General features: G+C 39.5%; 1 non-coding gene across 1 annotated transcript, besides 1 other annotated feature; it reads right to left on the reverse strand.

Moving 5' to 3' along the window:
- Positions 44-338: an enhancer, noted in NCBI's record as "tiled region #8394; HepG2 Activating non-DNase unmatched - State 10:DNaseD, and K562 Activating non-DNase unmatched - State 23:Low". NCBI's record gives its function as "activates a minimal TATA promoter and a strong SV40 promoter by Sharpr-MPRA in HepG2 cells, with weaker activation in K562 cells {active_cell/tissue: HepG2 | K562}" and the evidence as "EXISTENCE:reporter gene assay evidence [ECO:0000049][PMID:27701403]".
- On the reverse strand, positions 15,726-15,831 carry LOC124905070 (small nucleolar RNA U13). Its single transcript, XR_007067949.1, has one exon. It is a non-coding gene; the product is annotated as a small nucleolar RNA U13 (small nucleolar RNA).
- Positions 15,832-17,455: the final 1,624 nt, after the last annotated feature.

Genomic DNA, 17,455 nt, shown 5'->3' on the forward strand with positions numbered 1-17,455 from the left:
ACAGAGTCCCTTCTGTTAGTTCCTTTGATGGATTTTTGCTTTTTTTCTCCTGAAAGTAAAAAGCAGGAACATATACTGTGATTTATTAGGTTTTGCATCTGTGACAAGGAATGCAGTCCTAGAGAGGGCGGTAATTAGCTAATGCTTCTGGAATGCTGCTTCCTTCCCACCAGCCCCTGGAGGTCAGCAGGCCAGGGGCGAAGGCAGCTTTGTCCTGCCCCTATGGGAGGTTGTGTTTCTCGACCCAGTGTCTTGAGTTTGCTTCGGGGCCGGCATCTATGGAGAGCAGGGAGCATTTGCACTCCTTGGGGAAGAGGCATGAGGAGGGGCAGCGGTGTCCTAAGCTCCTAGTGACTCAGTCTATTCTTGACCTGCCATCACAGGGATGAGTTTGGCCTGAATGAAAGTCACACACCCTGAGCAGGCTCTGAGGTTTGGTTTAGTCCACAGTTTTTCAACCTCAGGACTATTGACGTTTTGTCGTGGGGCTACTGGATGCACTGTGAAATGTTAACAGCATCCCTGACCCTCCACCACTAGATGCCAGTAATGGCTGTAACCGTAATAGGTTCGCTGCCTGATGGGCAGCCAGCAAGTCAGTACACCGAGACAGCCAGTTGCAGCAGAGAAAGAGGGTTCATTGCAGAGCCGCTGAATAAGACGGGAGGAAACCTCAAATTTGTCTCCCCGAGGAGTTTTAGGGTTAGGGTTTTTAAGGGTTTTAGAGTTGACCAAAGTGTGGAGATCAGTGGTTGATCGAAGAGTGCAGGGTGAAGGCATTGGACAAGAAGATGAAGACGCTGTATTCTCATACTGATTCAGTTCCTCTGTGAGGTGAGGGTCTTCTAACTGGTTGGTGTGAGCTGTTCCACTGGAATTCAGGATCTGAAAAGCATCTTAAGCAATTTTTTTTTTTTTTTTTTGAGACAGAGTCTCACTCTGTCATCCAGGCTAGAGTGCAGTGGTGCGATCTCGGCTCCCTGCAAGTTCCACCTCCCGGGTTGACGCCATTCTCCTGCTTCAGCCTCCCGAGTAGCTGGGACTACAGGCGCCCACCACCACGCCCAGCTAATTTTTTGTATTTTTACTAGAGACGGGGTTTCACTGTGTTAGCCAGGATGGTCTCGATCTCCTGACTTCATGATCAGCCCGCCTCGGCCTCCCAAAGTGCTGGGATTACAGGCGTGAGCCACTGCGCCTGGCCACATCTTAAGCAATTTTTAAGCAAAAGCCTTGTGATTCTAACCTCAGAGATGCTATCTATAAGAACAACAGGGATACAGATGGTCAGTGTCTAGGCCTACCTGACTTTCTGTTACAAGGAAGTGGGCCGAAGTGCAGCCTGATTAATGCTTAATTATAACTATATTTCTGTACAGAATTCTTGTTAAGAATTATTGGGTCCAGGATTGACCTAATTTTCCCAAATTATTTAAGATTAATTATAACATGGCCTCTCAGATTGGTTCAAGGGTAGAGTGAGGGGGACCATGCCATTTGGGAAGAGCCATTCAGACATGTCTAATAAGTAAGCATTGCTTTTCTCTACCTTACTCAATATTCTTTACAGATTTCAGAAACAGCCTAAAACAACATTCCACACATTGAATGCATATACTAGTTCACAGTGAGGCCCTAGAGTACTGGAAGCAAAGCTGGGAAAAATTAAAATTCTAAATCTTCTACACAGTAAATGCAAACATGAACTGGACATTCCTCATTTCTTCCATATTTCCTTTTCTACCATCTTTAGCCTATTCTCAGCCTCAGATGGACTGACGCATTAAAGCTCCAGAGTGTGGGTAATTTATGGAACTTGAAAAATGCATGTCTGGGAGCCATGGAGAGAGGGGGAAAGGGCAGTCCCAATCAGACCCTCAGTCTCCTCTTTGTCTTTCATGTACTCTCTAATGTCTACTCCATTGAGTGTACTCTTGGTACCCAACTCCTTTAATGGGAGAAGCTTTCAGCTGTTGCTCAGGGTATTGCTGCTCATATGCACTAAAGCCATTGAGCACACTATTCAGGGGACCCTCACCAGCCCTCTTGGATATTTGCACTATTGGTGGTCCTGAGGTGACCTCAAGGATGAGTCATAGGAGTTAGTCAATCTTTCAAAGGGAGTGTCTGTTCCCTCTGCTGGGAGATCGTGTGTTATTTGATGCAAATTTTCAATACAAACCCACTTTAAATACAGAAGACATCCCAGATGGAAAGGAAAAACCTTTTCAGACAGCTATTCTTCAATTTGGTTTCTGGAGGCATAATTTTCTTCGATGGTAGGCAGAATTCTAAGATGACTTGTGCCTTGAATAATCCCTTCCTCTTGAGTAGGGGCAAGAGCTGTGGATATGATGGGATCTCACTTTGTGTTATAATGTATGGCAAAAGGGACTTCTGCAGATGCAATTAAGGTCTCTTAACAGATGAGTTAAGGTAAAGGGAGACTGCCCCGGTTGGGCCTTATCTAATCAGGTGAATTCTTATGGTCTTAAAGTCTGAGACAGAAGTCAGAGAGAGGCATGTTCCTGCTGGCCTGGAAGAAGAAAGCAGCCACAGTAGCTAGAACCAAAGAGTGGTCTGAGAGCTGAAAGCAGCCTCAGCCCAGGAGCCAGCAAGAAAATGGGGACCTCAGTGCTACAATCAGAAGGAACTGAATTCTGCCAGCAACCAGAGAGCTGGAAGAGGGCCCTAAGCCTCAGATGACCTTCCAGCCCTGGCTCAATAACTTATGTTGTTTTAAGTCACTAGGTCTATACGTAATTTGTTATCTGGCAATAGAAAATCAATGCACCTTCATTTTATTTTGTTGCTAAATTGGATATTCACTGTATTTTCTTATTTGCTTTGTTCTTGATGCTCTGGCATCTAGGGCCTTGTTGACAGGAGGAAACCACCCTTCCCAAGGCTTTACTATCCCAAAGATTGTAAAGGACTTGCCCTGGAGCATGCTTTTCATATGAAAACTAACCAATCCAGAGGCCTTACTTTGAACCACCTTCTCTCTCTGGCTCTTACACTCCAGGAGGTAATGTTCCTCTGCTCTGATCATCTCAGGACCAGGTACCAGACAGCTAGAGACAGCCCCTATACCCTGGAGCCTATCAAAATTACTTAATCTAGCAGATCATACACCTACCTAGTCTGTTTACCCTGCCTCACCTGTTCCTTCCCATGAAAACCACAATAAAGATGTCTGCCTCTGCTTTCCCCATTTCCCCACTCTGCTTCCTTATAAACTTTGGTCCTTCCATTTGTAGCCCCTCCTCTTGGGAACTGTGAATAACAAACTATCTTGTCAGTAACAGTCATCGTCTGATTTGTTGGCCTCACCATACTGGAATAATAATAAAACCTATTTAAAACAAACTGTTAGGATCGTTTTGCTTATACATTTCTTCTCTATGTGTTCTACTCAGATCCTCCCAAACTTCAGAAGTGTCAAAAAATACTAAATGCAGATTATTAAATCTTGACCTTAATTAGGTTCCATTGTGAATTTTTTAAATAAAAAGATTGTTTTAGTATTAAAAAAATTCTTCACAAGGGATAACAAGCACATCTTGGCTTTTGTCCCTTCTTACAGATTTTTAGCATAAGCTGAAAGAAAAATAAAACTATGGGAAAGATTTTGCCAGACAAAACAGAACAATAGGCAGAGTTCCATGTAAAATGCCTGATTGGTGCAGGCAGCCAGTATCCTCTAATGGAAAAATTCACAAATGTAACAAAAATAAATGGTGCATCATACATTATGTTTGTCAATACTTTTGTGATGATTTATGCTAGAATGGCAAGCCAGAGATTGCCTAATTTTATGTCCTATGCTTTAAGACCAGCCTCCCATACTTTCCTGAACGTCTGAAGAGCTTACAAAAGGGCTTTTGCTTTGTTTTACTCAAAGAAAAGTGAACTCCTTCTCTTACTAATGATTTGAGCATTTTCCTCTCAGGAAACAAATAATATTTAAGCAAGTGATTTAGCATGACACTATTTTTTGCTTCTAATGTAAAAGGCCTATTACTTACAAAGAAAAACTAGATATTTATAAATAAATTATTTTGTTAATAATGTGCTGTTCCTTTACACATCTTATTATCTTGTATTAATAGCTCTAGCCATACTGACATTTTTAGTTTTATCTATACATGATATTTTCTCTAAGAGGCAGATTTTAGAGGCCAGTCAAGCATTTGGATATAATTTTGTGCAAGGATTTTTTTTAATTTACAAATAATGGTATCACATACCTGAGCATCTGCAAATAAATTGGTAACTGCTATAGTTACAAATAAACACACACTCATGTATGCACACACAACCATGATCATAAACATATCCCTGTGCCTCTCCCTTTTCTATGCACACCTCATACATATAGGGGGTATGTATGTGTATACCTGTGTGTGTGTGCGTGCATGTTTTTAATACTAAAACAATCTTTTTATTTAAAAAATTTGCAATGGAACCTAATTAAGGCCAAGATTTAATAATCTGCATTTAGTATTTTTTGACACTTCTGAAGTTTGGGAGGATCTGAGTAGAACACATAGAGAAGAAATGTATAAGCAAAATGACCCTAACAGTTTGTTTTAAATAGGTTTTATTATGTTTGTGTGTGATACTCTTATCAACTAATTGGGCAGTAGATTTTGTATTATGGCAAACATATCACTTTAGAATTTGACATGCCTGTGACTGACACCCACACTACAGCATACTTACTTCATCATTGTAACTTTGGATATTTTAACATATTTGGATGTTCATTTATTTTTACAACAGGAAGAATAATTCCTATCTCACCAAGTTACTAAGACGGTTAAATATGGCTCCACCTGCCTGAAATCCTTTTTCTCCTGACCATCCACACTGATGTCTTCTTGTCCTTTGAATGTCGCTCACTGTTGTAGAAAGGGTAACCCTGACTAATTAGCTAACATAGCCATCTAATGACTGTTATATCTCTTGATTCATAGCACTTGTTTATGTCTGCTTTGATCATATTCATTTCATTAAATATATATCTTACTCCCTCTGTAAGAGAACAAATGCTGTGAGAACAGGACCTTGTTTGACATGTTCATTATTCTAGCATCCAGTGCCTGAAAACATGCCTGACACATAGTAGTCACTTGATCAATATTTGTATGAAGGAAAGAAGGAAGGAAGAAAGGAATAAAAGGAAGAAGAGGGGTTTGGTGGGAGGGAGAAAGGGAGGGAAGGACAAAGGAGTGTGAAAAAGAGGGATGAAGGGAGGCAGGAAGAAGTTTAAATGTCCAACACAATGACTAACACATTACATAGGCACTCAATATACTTCAATTTTCTATTTTGTAATCTGTGAATTTTGGTAAGTTTCTTAAACTCTTTAGGCCTCGCTTATCTTATCTGTAATAATGGTACATGCAGTACCATCCATTAGGATTGTTATAAGGAATAAATGGAAAACAAAGAAATAAATGCAGAGTATATTGCACTGTGCAGAACTATATACTCATTAAATATTACATATTAATATTTTTGTTACTTCCCCCAAATGATATCATCGGACACAAACTTCTGAGTTCAATTAGAATTTATAACTTACGGATATGAATTTGTTCAAATAGTGTTATATTTCCTTTTATAAAAATAACCATTTGAGATATATGAAACTTGAACTCTTGGCCTCAAGTGGTTCTCCTGCCTCAGCCTCCCAAAATGCTGAAATTACAGGCATGAGCCACTATGCCTGGCCATTTGTGATGTAATTAATAAGCAATCAAGGAAATACTTAACTGTACTTATAATTATTAAGTTAATGTGACCAAAGTTAAACTTTAATACAAGGAATGTGTGAGCCCTTAACTAAAAATTATAATCCCTCTGCTTGTTTGATGGCTGAATCAAATAAACCATAAGAAAACCACTAGAAAATTATACTTGTTTTCAATACATCCTTATACTTCTGAATAGATAAAGAAGCCACCTTAAGTTTTTATTAAGAACAGTTTTTCTAACCGCAAACAAGAATAAAACAATAAGGTAAAATGCCACCAGAAAATGAAAACGTGAGTAATGACTTTCTTTTCATTGCCTGATGGGTATAGAGGGTTATTTTTTCCCGTACAGCATAGTTTAATTTTTTTTCATTTCTTATAATGAAATTACTGAGGTACTTTAATGAAGATTTCCTGCAAAATAGATTAAAACTTACAAAGTGATACAAGATTTGTGCTTTCAGCCAGAAATTGTCTTTTAATTGGCCAGTACAAAGACAAGAGAAGCTAAGGGAAATGGAATACCATTTGTGTCATTTCCATCACACCATTTCTTATTCTCAGCACTTACTGAGTGTGTAACTGCTGAGAGATTTGCCAGGTGTTCACTCACAGATTGATAGCTCCATGTATAATTCCAAATGATAGAGATGGAGTGTTGTGTCCTCTGATAGCAGAAGCAGCAGCCACTGCCTTCCCCACAAACCTGTCACAAAGAAATCAGTGGGGATTGGATTTTGCCCTGACCTGGATAAAAGGACACTTCATCACAGCAACAGCCTGCTGGGAGAGGAGGGAATAGACCCTGCTCTTGCTGCTGCAGATGCCTGCAAAGGATCTTTACTTGGAGGGGTCTTGGAGCTCCTTTCTCCGCAGCTACACCAAGTGGCCAGGTATATGTGCACATATACAGTAGCCACCTGCTTTCACTGTTGCATGTTACGCAATGAATCTCACCATGGGAGTGAAGATGCTTCTGGTTCTTCAAAGTGAGACAGGAAGAGGAAGAAGAAGAAGAGGAGGAAGAGGAGGAAGAAGAGGAAGAAGAAGGAGGAGGAGGAGGGAAGAGAAGAAGAAGGAGGACGAGGAGGAGGAGGAGGCGGTGGCAGTGGCGGTGGAGGAGGAGGAGGGGGAGGAGGAGGGGGAGGAGGGGGAGGAGGAGGGGGTGGAGGAGGAAGAAGAAGGAAGAAGAGGAAGGAAGAAGAAGAAAGAAGAAGAAAGAAGAAGGAAGAAGAAGAAGAAAGAAGAAGGAAGAAGAAGAAAGAAGAAGAAGAACACTGTTTGGTGGGAGCTATATTCCAGGCTCCATAGCTGGTTACTCCAAGTGAAGAAAATGCGGCTTCAAGAGGTTGTGAGGCTTACGTGGCAGGATGAGGGAAGTGAGGGTATGGGCATTTATGTGATGTAGCAGCAGCAGCTTGTCCCAGTGGGAAAACCTCACCCTGAGAGGTCATGGGAAATCCCGAGAACCACATAGCACTTCCCATCCTCCATCTTTCCTTTCAGTACAGTTCCCCACAATCTCTACTACCACCCCCACCCTCTGCACCAGGCTCTTATCTACGTTTTTTGGAAAGAAGACCATCAGTTCAACAAATGAGCATAAAACAAGACTCTCACAGCTGGAGCCTCTCCCACAGTTTGCGCTTTCTCCTGAGAGACTCTTTGATCTCTCCTGCCATTGTCTTGGGGCCATCCCAGTGGTTCTTCAGACATGCCTGAATATGTCTACATTCCACCAGCAAATGCCCAGACTGAGGGTCACACACCTACCCACACAGACACAAAAATAATCTCACTCATCAACAGTGGTGCACTAAGTCTAAGGTTACAAGGAACAGTGACACACAGGAAGTGTGCTGTCAGATAAGAGAGTTATACACTTCAAGGGACAACCAAAGTGGACTCTGATGAGGACCTGCATGGAAGGGTCCTGGTGTCTGTGCGTGAACACTGGAGGGACACTTAGGTCTGTGAGGCCTCAGGAAAGGCTTCTGAAAGCAAGAGGCCCTGAACTGAAACAGCTAGGTGTCTAAGTGTTCTGTGGCTGAAGGCAAGAAGCAAGGACAATCTAGGTACAGGGAAGCTGACAAGGGAAGGCTCAGAGGCAGAAAATACTTGGGTGAATCCAGAGCCCCCATCTCGCTTAATATGAGAAAAACCTAGAATCCCATGCAGGGAGTGGCAAGAAACCAAGCTGCAGTATCAGCAGAGACTGAGTCATAAAGGGCACTGAGGGACATAGCAGGAAGCTCAGATTTTGAACTGACAGAAAAAAAGAGTCCCTGATAGACTCAAGTTTCTCTCTCAGATTGATAGCTTCATTTATAAACCCAATGATAGAAATGGAGTATTGTCTTTGAATAATAGGAGCTATCACGATTATACTGTAGAGCTTTTGGAAGGCTACCCTGGAGGCAGTGTAACAGAAGGTCAGAAATTAAGAGGGTCACCTGATGAGGCTACTGCAATAGTCCAAGGGGATGATGGTTTGGGCCTGGACTAAACTATGGCAAGTAGGGATGGGGAGTAGATACCAAGAGGAGAGTAGCAGGTAGCAGGGCCAGATGACGGCCTAAATCGAGGGGTACAAGAGAGCTTGCACGAAATAAACAATCAGCCCTGGCAGGACTGACTGGGACTGCCCTTGCAGGACGAAGAGAGGAAGGGTTAAAACTACATGTCTTGAGGCTATTTGCCAATGTCCTTAGGAAGCAGGGAGTATGGCTAATGGAGCTTTTAGTCCTAATTAGCCAAAACTGGGATCCTGCCAATTTTAGAGGCTTTCAAGGGGCATGCTTCAAGGAAGAGTCCCCCTGAGCTTAAGTAATGAGTGATGGCCTGCCATCCAGCCCAGGGGCAATGTCTCTAACCCTGGGTCATGCCAGAATTATACTCCCTTGACTAAACACATCAGTTTATCCAGGACCCAACATATTTCATTTTATTTAATATTCCCCCAAACCCCAAGTAGATGTACTTACTACTCATTTCACAGATAAGGAAACAAGCTTCAGGAGAAGCAAGGCCATTTTTCACATAGTTGGTAAGCATTCAAAACAGTATTCGAATGCTGGCCTGTCTGATTCCTGGGTTTTATTCTATCCACTATGTACAATATCAGAGGGGTCCATGTGTTTCTCTTCTGGACAGAGAAAAGAGTGAGGAGACCTCAACAGTGGACACTAGCCTCCACAATTCAGAATGAAGTAACCTGGGACTTGCAGAAGAGGGAATCCACATTGTTTCAGTTAGGTAGCATTTGGTGACAGTGATAACAATGATAATGAAAACAGCAGCAACTAATATTTACTGAGTGCTTCATATGCACTAGACATTGCTCTAACTCATGTAATCCACCCAAAAACCTACAGAAATAGGTATTGTCATGATGTCCAGATTGTTGAGTGAAATAATTTTACAGATGAGGAAATGGGCCCAGGAGAATTAAATAACTCTTCCAATTGACAAGGTAGAGGTGGAAACAGCATGGAAATTCAGGCATCCAGCTTCAGAGCTCACTCTCCTAACCACTATATTATGTTCTCTATGGTCAGGTTGAACACAGTAGTTTGCCTCATGTTCCTTTATGGTTTGTGAATGCGGCTGAAAAGTCCCACAATCACTAAAAGACAAAACACAGTCAAGCTTTTTATTCTTCCTTCAAAAAAAAAAAGTTGATGGGAAAGGGTGATAGTACACACATAGGGTCCGGCAATAAATCATTTTTTCCCTCCCGTTTCACAGTGAAGGGCATAGGAATGAAATGAGCTTTTAGAATTCCTGAGAATCATAGGCACTCCACCCTAACCACAGATGCTGGAAGCTGCATTATGATATGTATTACATTCAAATGTGGGAACCCAGGGCTAATTTTAAGCAACAGTTCAAGCTGGATGTAATTAAAACCTGCAGCATTCTACTTCTGGAAATGACTAAGAAGCTTGTATCGTACTAATCCTCTCACAGGTGACAATTGTAAACTATAGCCAAGTTTAAAACATTATTTGAAGGCACTGAAGAAGGAAGAAATGCAGGCTGAATGTGGAATAGAGTCAGCCTTCAACAAAGAAAACTGCACTGTATGTAAATGGATTTTGCAGGGTGTTTCACCTGAGAACACAGCCCTGTCTGCACAAGATGAAGTGGCTGAGCTCCTGCAGAAATATGCAGTCTTCCTTGTTTGAGAAGTCAGAGTATGGAGTTCATAACTGGAAAAACTTCTGGGGTGTGAGGTGGGTAGGAATGCCAAAAAGGAGGATGTCAAGGAGGGGGGATCCCCCAAATCTGTGTGCAGACTTTGCCCCAGTTCCTGGCTGACTACACACGCATAAACTGCGCATGCATGTGGAAAATGTCAAGGGTCCTAGAAGGAGGCAGCAGATGGAGGACAGAGGGAATTGAGAGGAGATATCAACTGCAGTCCCCCACAGACAGGCAGCCAACTTCACCACCCTCTAAGGCAGAACTCAACACTCTGACCAAGTCTCTAAAACAAAACATTTACAAAGCCCATAGTAAAATAAAATATTGGTAGACATGTGAAGAAATAGAAAAATGGGACTCAAAAAAAGAAAAGCAGTCATTAGCAACCACTTCTAAAGAGACCAAAAGTTTGGAGTTATGAGAGAAGGAGTGCACAGCACCTATGAAGAGTATATGCAAAGATATAAAGGAACACGGGGTCATGGTGAGGGTCAACTGGGAATCCTGGCAGGAGAAAATAAATATATATACATAAAGAAATAATTATAGAACTAAAAATCAAAATGTCTGAGATGAAAAATTCAATTATTTTCCTTAAGAGCAGATTGGAGAAAGCAGAATAATAGACAGAGACAAATAGAAAGCAAGTAAGAACTTGATAGACATGAACCTAATGATATAATTCATTACATAAATGTAGATGGAGTAAACATTTAAACTAAAAGGTATAAATGATCAGACTGTACAAAAATATAAGACTAAACTATATGCTGTTTTTCTTAGTGATGGTTCTCTAGAAAAACAGAGCCAATAGGATGTGTGGGTGTGGATGTTGAGGAGAGAGAGAGAGAGAGAGAGAAAAAGAGAGAGAGAAAAAAAAGAGAGAGAGAGAGACTTATTTAAAGAAATTGGCTCATGTTACCTTGGAACCTGGCAAGTCTAAAATCCGCATAGTAGGCCAGCAGGCTGGAGACCCAGGAAGAATTAATGTTGCAGCTCTGGTTCAAAAGCAGATGGCAGGTAGAATTCCTTCTTCCTTGGGTGGGGAACTTCCATCTTTTTCTCTTAAGGCCTTCAACTGATAAGAGGATGCCCACCCACATTATAGAAGATAAACTGCTTTACTTAACGTCCCCTGATTTCAATGTTAATCTCACCCAAAAACTGTCTTCACAGCAACATCCAGTCTAGTGTTTGACCAAATATCTGGGTGCCATGACCTTGCAAAGTTTATGTTAAAGCATAAAATTACAGAACCTTTTTATCCCCTTATAGTCTTGGCTCATCTTTATGTTTTTGAATCTCATAACTGCTTCTGTTTGATCACAGCTTGATTCACTGATCTTATTGCATGGAGGCATTGCCTTCTTTTATTCTATTGAGAATGGAAAATTGTTTCCAAAATAATTTATTTCTGGCTTTTCTATAAATCATTTTGAAAAGTCTCTGTGCTTCTCTGAGTCTTCAGGGATACTGATTCTTTCAACTTTTTGAATCTTTTGTTCAAATCAGGACTGTATTGATCTTTTTCTTTTAGATTCATTCTTCACAAAAGAAACATTTATCTAGACTTGACAAAAGCCTAGAGAAAAATGTGTTAATTGCCCTTTCATAGTTGATTAGATTACTGGTTATATTGGTCAAGGCTCATAGTGGAAGAAAGTAGAATGCACTCTATTTGATCTGAAAAGAAAGTGATGTATCAGATGGAATGATGAACCTTACAGAATCTCAGTGAGGCCCAGGGCATAAGGTTTAATTATCACATAATCAAAAATACAGCAATCAAAGGAAATGCCCAACCACCTATGGAACTGTTTCTGTTGCTGCTGCCTACTGCTCAGTACCTAAGTTTCTAGGAATCAGACTTCAGAAACTGCCAGACCTGCAACGGGAGAATGAACGTTTCTGTCACGAACCATGGCCACTGGCTCCCATTGTTCACACCCTCCTGGTCTCATGTGGACATCTGCTTGGCAGAATCTAAGCCACATGCAAAATCTTCTCTGCTAAGTACGGTTTTTAGTCTCCTGGCATCTGTTATACTAGAAGGTTCAGTAGAAGGAAGTGGGAATGGCAGCGGAGTGAGCCAGTGAAAAATCTGCTGCACTAAACAATCTCAGTGCTGGATGGAATACCCACATCTCAAATCCAAGGTCTAGAAGACCTTTATCCATGGTGGCTTCACTGTAAATGAGTGGACCTCTCATCATGTCACTGATTTTCTGGGACTCTATACTAAAGAAAGATTTTTTAAAAATTGCAATTCCTTCTTATATCAACTCCAGGGCTCCTCCTTCCTGCATCTTCCTCCACAAAGCTTTATTTTCTTAAATGAAATGTGTCACCAGCAATTCTCTCCCCAAACCTTCCACACCACAACTCACCATACTCACTAGATTTTTGAGAATCTTAGTCTTGAGTGAAAATACAAGTGTGTGGGGAAAAAAAGGAGAAGTAGATTCTGACCACCAACACAGTAGAAGACGAGCCACATGGTTTCCAGGCTGGCACAGATCCTGGGTACATGAGCTGGGAACAGACTTGATGCAGGGATAATTTTGGGTAAATTAATTGACCTGTTTAAGGATATTTGGAATAAGTTACCTATAAGCAGAATTCTAGAGGTAATGTCCTATGATTTTATAAAATCTGGAAGTCACTCATTTACATATTGGAAATTCTTTTTCTTGACAAAAATGATTCATGACTTCAACAAATGGTGCTAGAACAACTGGATGTCTATGTTCAAAAGAATGGTGGAGTACCCCTTCTTCACTCCACACATCAAAACCATCTCATTGTTCAATTCCCACCTATGAGTGAGAACATGCAGTGTTTGGTTTTTTGTCCTTGTGATAGTTTGCTGAGAATGATGGTTTCCAGCTTCATCCATGTCCCTACAAAGGACATGAACTCATCATTTTTTATGGCTGCATAGTATTCCGTGGTGTATATGTGCCACATTTTCTTAATCCAGTCTACACCTGGGACTGTTGTGGGGTGGGGGGAGGGGGGAGGGATAGCATTAGGAGATATACCTAATGCTAAATGATGAGTTAATGGGTGCAGCACACCAACATGGCACATGTATACATATGTAATAAACCTGCACGTTGTGCACATGTACCCTAAAACTTAAAGTATAATAATAAAAAAATCTCTGAAAATATACCCAAGACCTAGATGTAAAAATTAAAACTATAAAACTTTTAGAAGAAAACATAAGAGTAAATATTTGTGATTTTGAGTTAGGCAATAGCTTTTTAAGATACAACACCAAAAACACAAGGGAAAAACAAAACAAAACAAAACAAAACAAAATCCGTGAATTGAACTTCACCAAAACTAAATGGGACAACATATTTAAAAATCACATATCTGATAAGGGACTTGTATCCAGAATGTATAAATGATACCACTTGCAACTCAGCAATAAAAAGACAACCCAATTAAAAGCAGACAAATAATTTGAACAGACATTACTACAAAAAAGAAATACTAATGATCAATAAGCACATGAAAGATGTTCAACATCATTAGTCTTTCAGGAAATGGAAACCACAAGACATCACTTTACACCCACTAGAATAGCTCAAAAAGAAAAGGCAGACAATAATAAATGTTGTCAAGGATATGGTGAAATTGGAACTCTCATTCATTGCTAATGGGAGTAAAAGAGTGCAGTCAATTTGGAAAACAGTTTGGGAGTTCTTCCAAAAGTTAAACATAGAGTTACCATATAATTCAGCAATTCTCCTCCAAGAATACTAAAAACATGTGTCCACACAAAAATTCACACATTAATGTTCATAGTAGCATTATTCATAATAGCAAATAAGTGGAAACAGCCCAAATATCCATCAACTGATAAATGGATAAATAAAATGTGGTATATTTATTAACTGAAATATTATTTAGCAATAAAAAGAAATGAAGTACTGATTCATGTTGAGCATCAGTGAATCTTGAAAACATGATGCTAAGTGAAAAGAGCCAGTCACAAAAGACCACATATCACATGATTCAATTTATATTAAGTGTCCAAAATAGGTAAATCTATAGAGATAGAAATCAGATTTATGCTTGACAAGGGATTGTGGAGGAGGGGGCAATGGGAAGTGGCTACCAATAGGTGTGGTGTTTCTTTTTGGGGTAATGAAAATGTTATAAAATTAGATAATGTTGGTAATTGTACAACTTTGTGAATATACTCAAAATCACTGACTCATACACTTTAAAAAGGTGAATTTCATGGTGTGTTAGTTATATCTCAAAAAGGCTATTAGAGATTTACTGGAATTTCACAAAAATAATTGCTTATTTAATGCAAGTTTATTCATGATATTCACATTATTTGAAGTATGAAAGTTCATTGTTTGAATTAATTAAAAATTAAAACAACATATCAAAATGTGTGGGATACAGATTTAAAGAATCTAAATTTTCATTTTAAGATATAGAAAATACAAGCAAAAGAAAATTAAACCCCCAATAGAAAGAAGACACAATAAACATAAAAGTAAAAATAAATGAAATAAAAACTAAAATATAATGATAATGATGATGATAATAATAATAATGGTAATAATAGTAACATGAATGAATCCTGCAGCTGTTTTTTTTTAAATGAATAAAATTGATAAAACTCTCACTAGACTTATGCAGAAAAAAAGAAAGAAGACACAAATTACCACATTAGGAGTAAAAGAGGAGCATCACTACAGATCCTATAGACTTTAAAAGGATCATAGGAAATATTATGAGCTGCTTTATTCCAATAACTTCAACAACCTAAATGAAATGGATAAATCCTCTGTCATAATGTTACCTTGCTTGTATTGGAATGTGTTTATTCTCAGGAGACCCATGCAGAAATATTAGATAAAGTGCAACTCACTTTCAAATGGCTCAGCAAAATGTCAACAGTTGTTGAAACTAAGTAGTGAATATAAAAATGTTTATTATGTTATTCTTTTATTTTACCTTTTCTGTATTTTTGAAAATTTTTGTAATGCAAAATTGGGAGAAATAAATCAGGTATGAATGCATGTTAGTAGAGAGGCTTTCACTCCGGGTTAGTCATTTCAAGTAGGGCTGATTATGGAAAGGACAATGTCATGACCTTTTCACCCAAAAAGCAGTGTTGTAACCTTCCTTTTGTGTCTGGATGAAGCTTCTTGGTGACACTGGTAGGCTATGGAAACTCCCACAGAACAAGCACAGAAAAACTCACACAGACATGAAACCTTGGCCTAAGGGGACACTTATTGGACACTAATTACCCTTAAGAGCTCTGTTAACCCAAACTTCCCATAAACCAAGCTTGGTATGAAATAAGAAAATGCATAAGGAAGCAAAATGCTGACATGACCAAATTTATCAGTCCTGAAAGTCCTTTCTTCAGAAGTGATGTTGCAATTGTACAATAATAAACAATAGAAGGTTGACAATCTCATGTTTGCAGGCAGAGAACAGCTTCCCTACATTTCTAAGAAGCTGTATATTTGGAAATGGATTAAATTGAAGGTAGGGATAATTGGCATTCTAAAGCCAAGTAGGATGAAACAAGCAGAATTTTCCATATTTTAATATGTCTCTTTTTAATTAGAGTATCTATAAAGGAAACAAATTATTGTATAGTTACCGATTCTTTTTAATGAACAAGGAAAAATGGTCTAATAATATGAGCTTCCTTTTGGACTTGGGTCCTGGCTGATGTTGGGTATCCAAGGACCCTCGCTGTCTTTTTTTCCATGTTGGACGGGTAATGTGCCCACATTGTAACAAGGTTTGAGGAAGGCACATCTCACACATGCACATGTGAACACCCAAGCATCACGCTTATGAACTACAAAAGGATCTACCCTCTCCATCTTAAGTAGAGACTTGAGAGGGAGTGATAGGCAGGAAGAGCATCAAAACTTCTTCACAGGACATAATTGAATGACTTGTTACTTATTTTCTTATGGTTCATTTATTCAACAAATGAAACATCTCAATTGTTCATTGCTATTATAGATAGACACTAGGTATACTGGTAAAAAAAAAAAGACTAAAAAATGTTGTTTTTATTTAACTTGCATGATGGCTGATATAGTAAAGTCAAAATTATTTAAATAAAGAAAAGGGGTAATGAAGACTTTGGATGTAGAAATCTAGGTTCTCATCCAAGCTTTGCTGCTAGCTTGCTGAGGGAACCCTGAGTAATGAGTCCTTAAACTCCCTCTAGGCCTGGAGGTTCATCCATCAAGTGAGGGGCCTTAACCATGTTTCCAACAACAGCCTTTCCGGCCCCATCTTCCTATGAAGGAGAAACCTCAGTATGGCCTCGTGGGGAACATCGTGGACTTTGGACTAAAGCACTTTTGGTTTGTTCAATTATTTCATCTCTGATCTTCATCATCTTATTTAACTACTCTGAGCCTCAATTTCCTTGCTGCAAAATGAGGTGATGTTTGCTTAAATGAGCAAGCAAAGCAATCACCACAGCTCCTGGCATGCCATAGCACATGGCTTTTGCTCCCTTGGGGTGCTTACATATGAAGAAAGGTTTTGCAATCTAAAGACAGTAATCATTTTGGTAGTGAGCCAGCTAATTGAGGAGGCAATTTCTCCTCCATCAGACTATCAGCTGATGTGCAACCTAAAAAGCATTTGTTGAATAATGTAAAAGGAGTTTTTACCAGCTCCTTCAATTTTGACCATCTTTGGACTGGAAGATTTCATTCAATTCAAAAAATTCCCAATGACATATACATTGTGAACACTAAGATTATATTCTTTCTGGAAGCTGTGTCCATTCCAACAAGTCAGGACCATTTTTACCCAACCTGTCCTAGGCAGCAAGACTCCTCAAGAGATACATGCAGAGGCAGAGTTTTCTAAGCTGGGCTGCCACATGGTCACCCTGGGGAGAAAATGGCAGAAGACAGCTTTCTTGGGCCCACCTATCAGAAGGAAGCTCCTGTGGCAACAGTGATCTCATCTCTTAGGGGCCCATGGTAGAAATATTGAAAGCAAAAGCTATAGGAATGGTCCAATATAACAATCACAGTTTCCTTCAATTTTCAGAAAATTATAAATGATTAAGAATACAAAATGGTTTTGATTTGCATTTCTCTGATGGCCAGTGATGATGAGCATTTTTTCATGTGTTTTTTGGCTGCATAAATGTCTTCTTTTGAGAAGTGTCTGTTCATGTCCTTCGCCCACTTTTTGATGGGGTTGTTTGTTTTTTTCTTGTAAATTTGTTTGAGTTCATTGTAGATTCTGGATATTAGCCCTTTGTCAGATGAGTAGGTTGCGAAAATTTTCTCCCATTTTGTAGGTTGCCTGTTCACTCTGATGGTAGTTTCTTTTGCTGTGCAGAAGCTCTTTAGTTTAATTAGATCCCATTTGTCAATTTTGTCTTTTGTTGCCATTGCTTTTGGTGTTTTGGACATGAAGTCCTTGCCCATGCCTATGTCCTGAATGGTAATGCCTAA

This window comes from Homo sapiens, chromosome 21 (genome assembly GCF_000001405.40).
Source record: "Homo sapiens chromosome 21, GRCh38.p14 Primary Assembly".
NCBI lineage: Eukaryota > Metazoa > Chordata > Mammalia > Primates > Hominidae > Homo > Homo sapiens.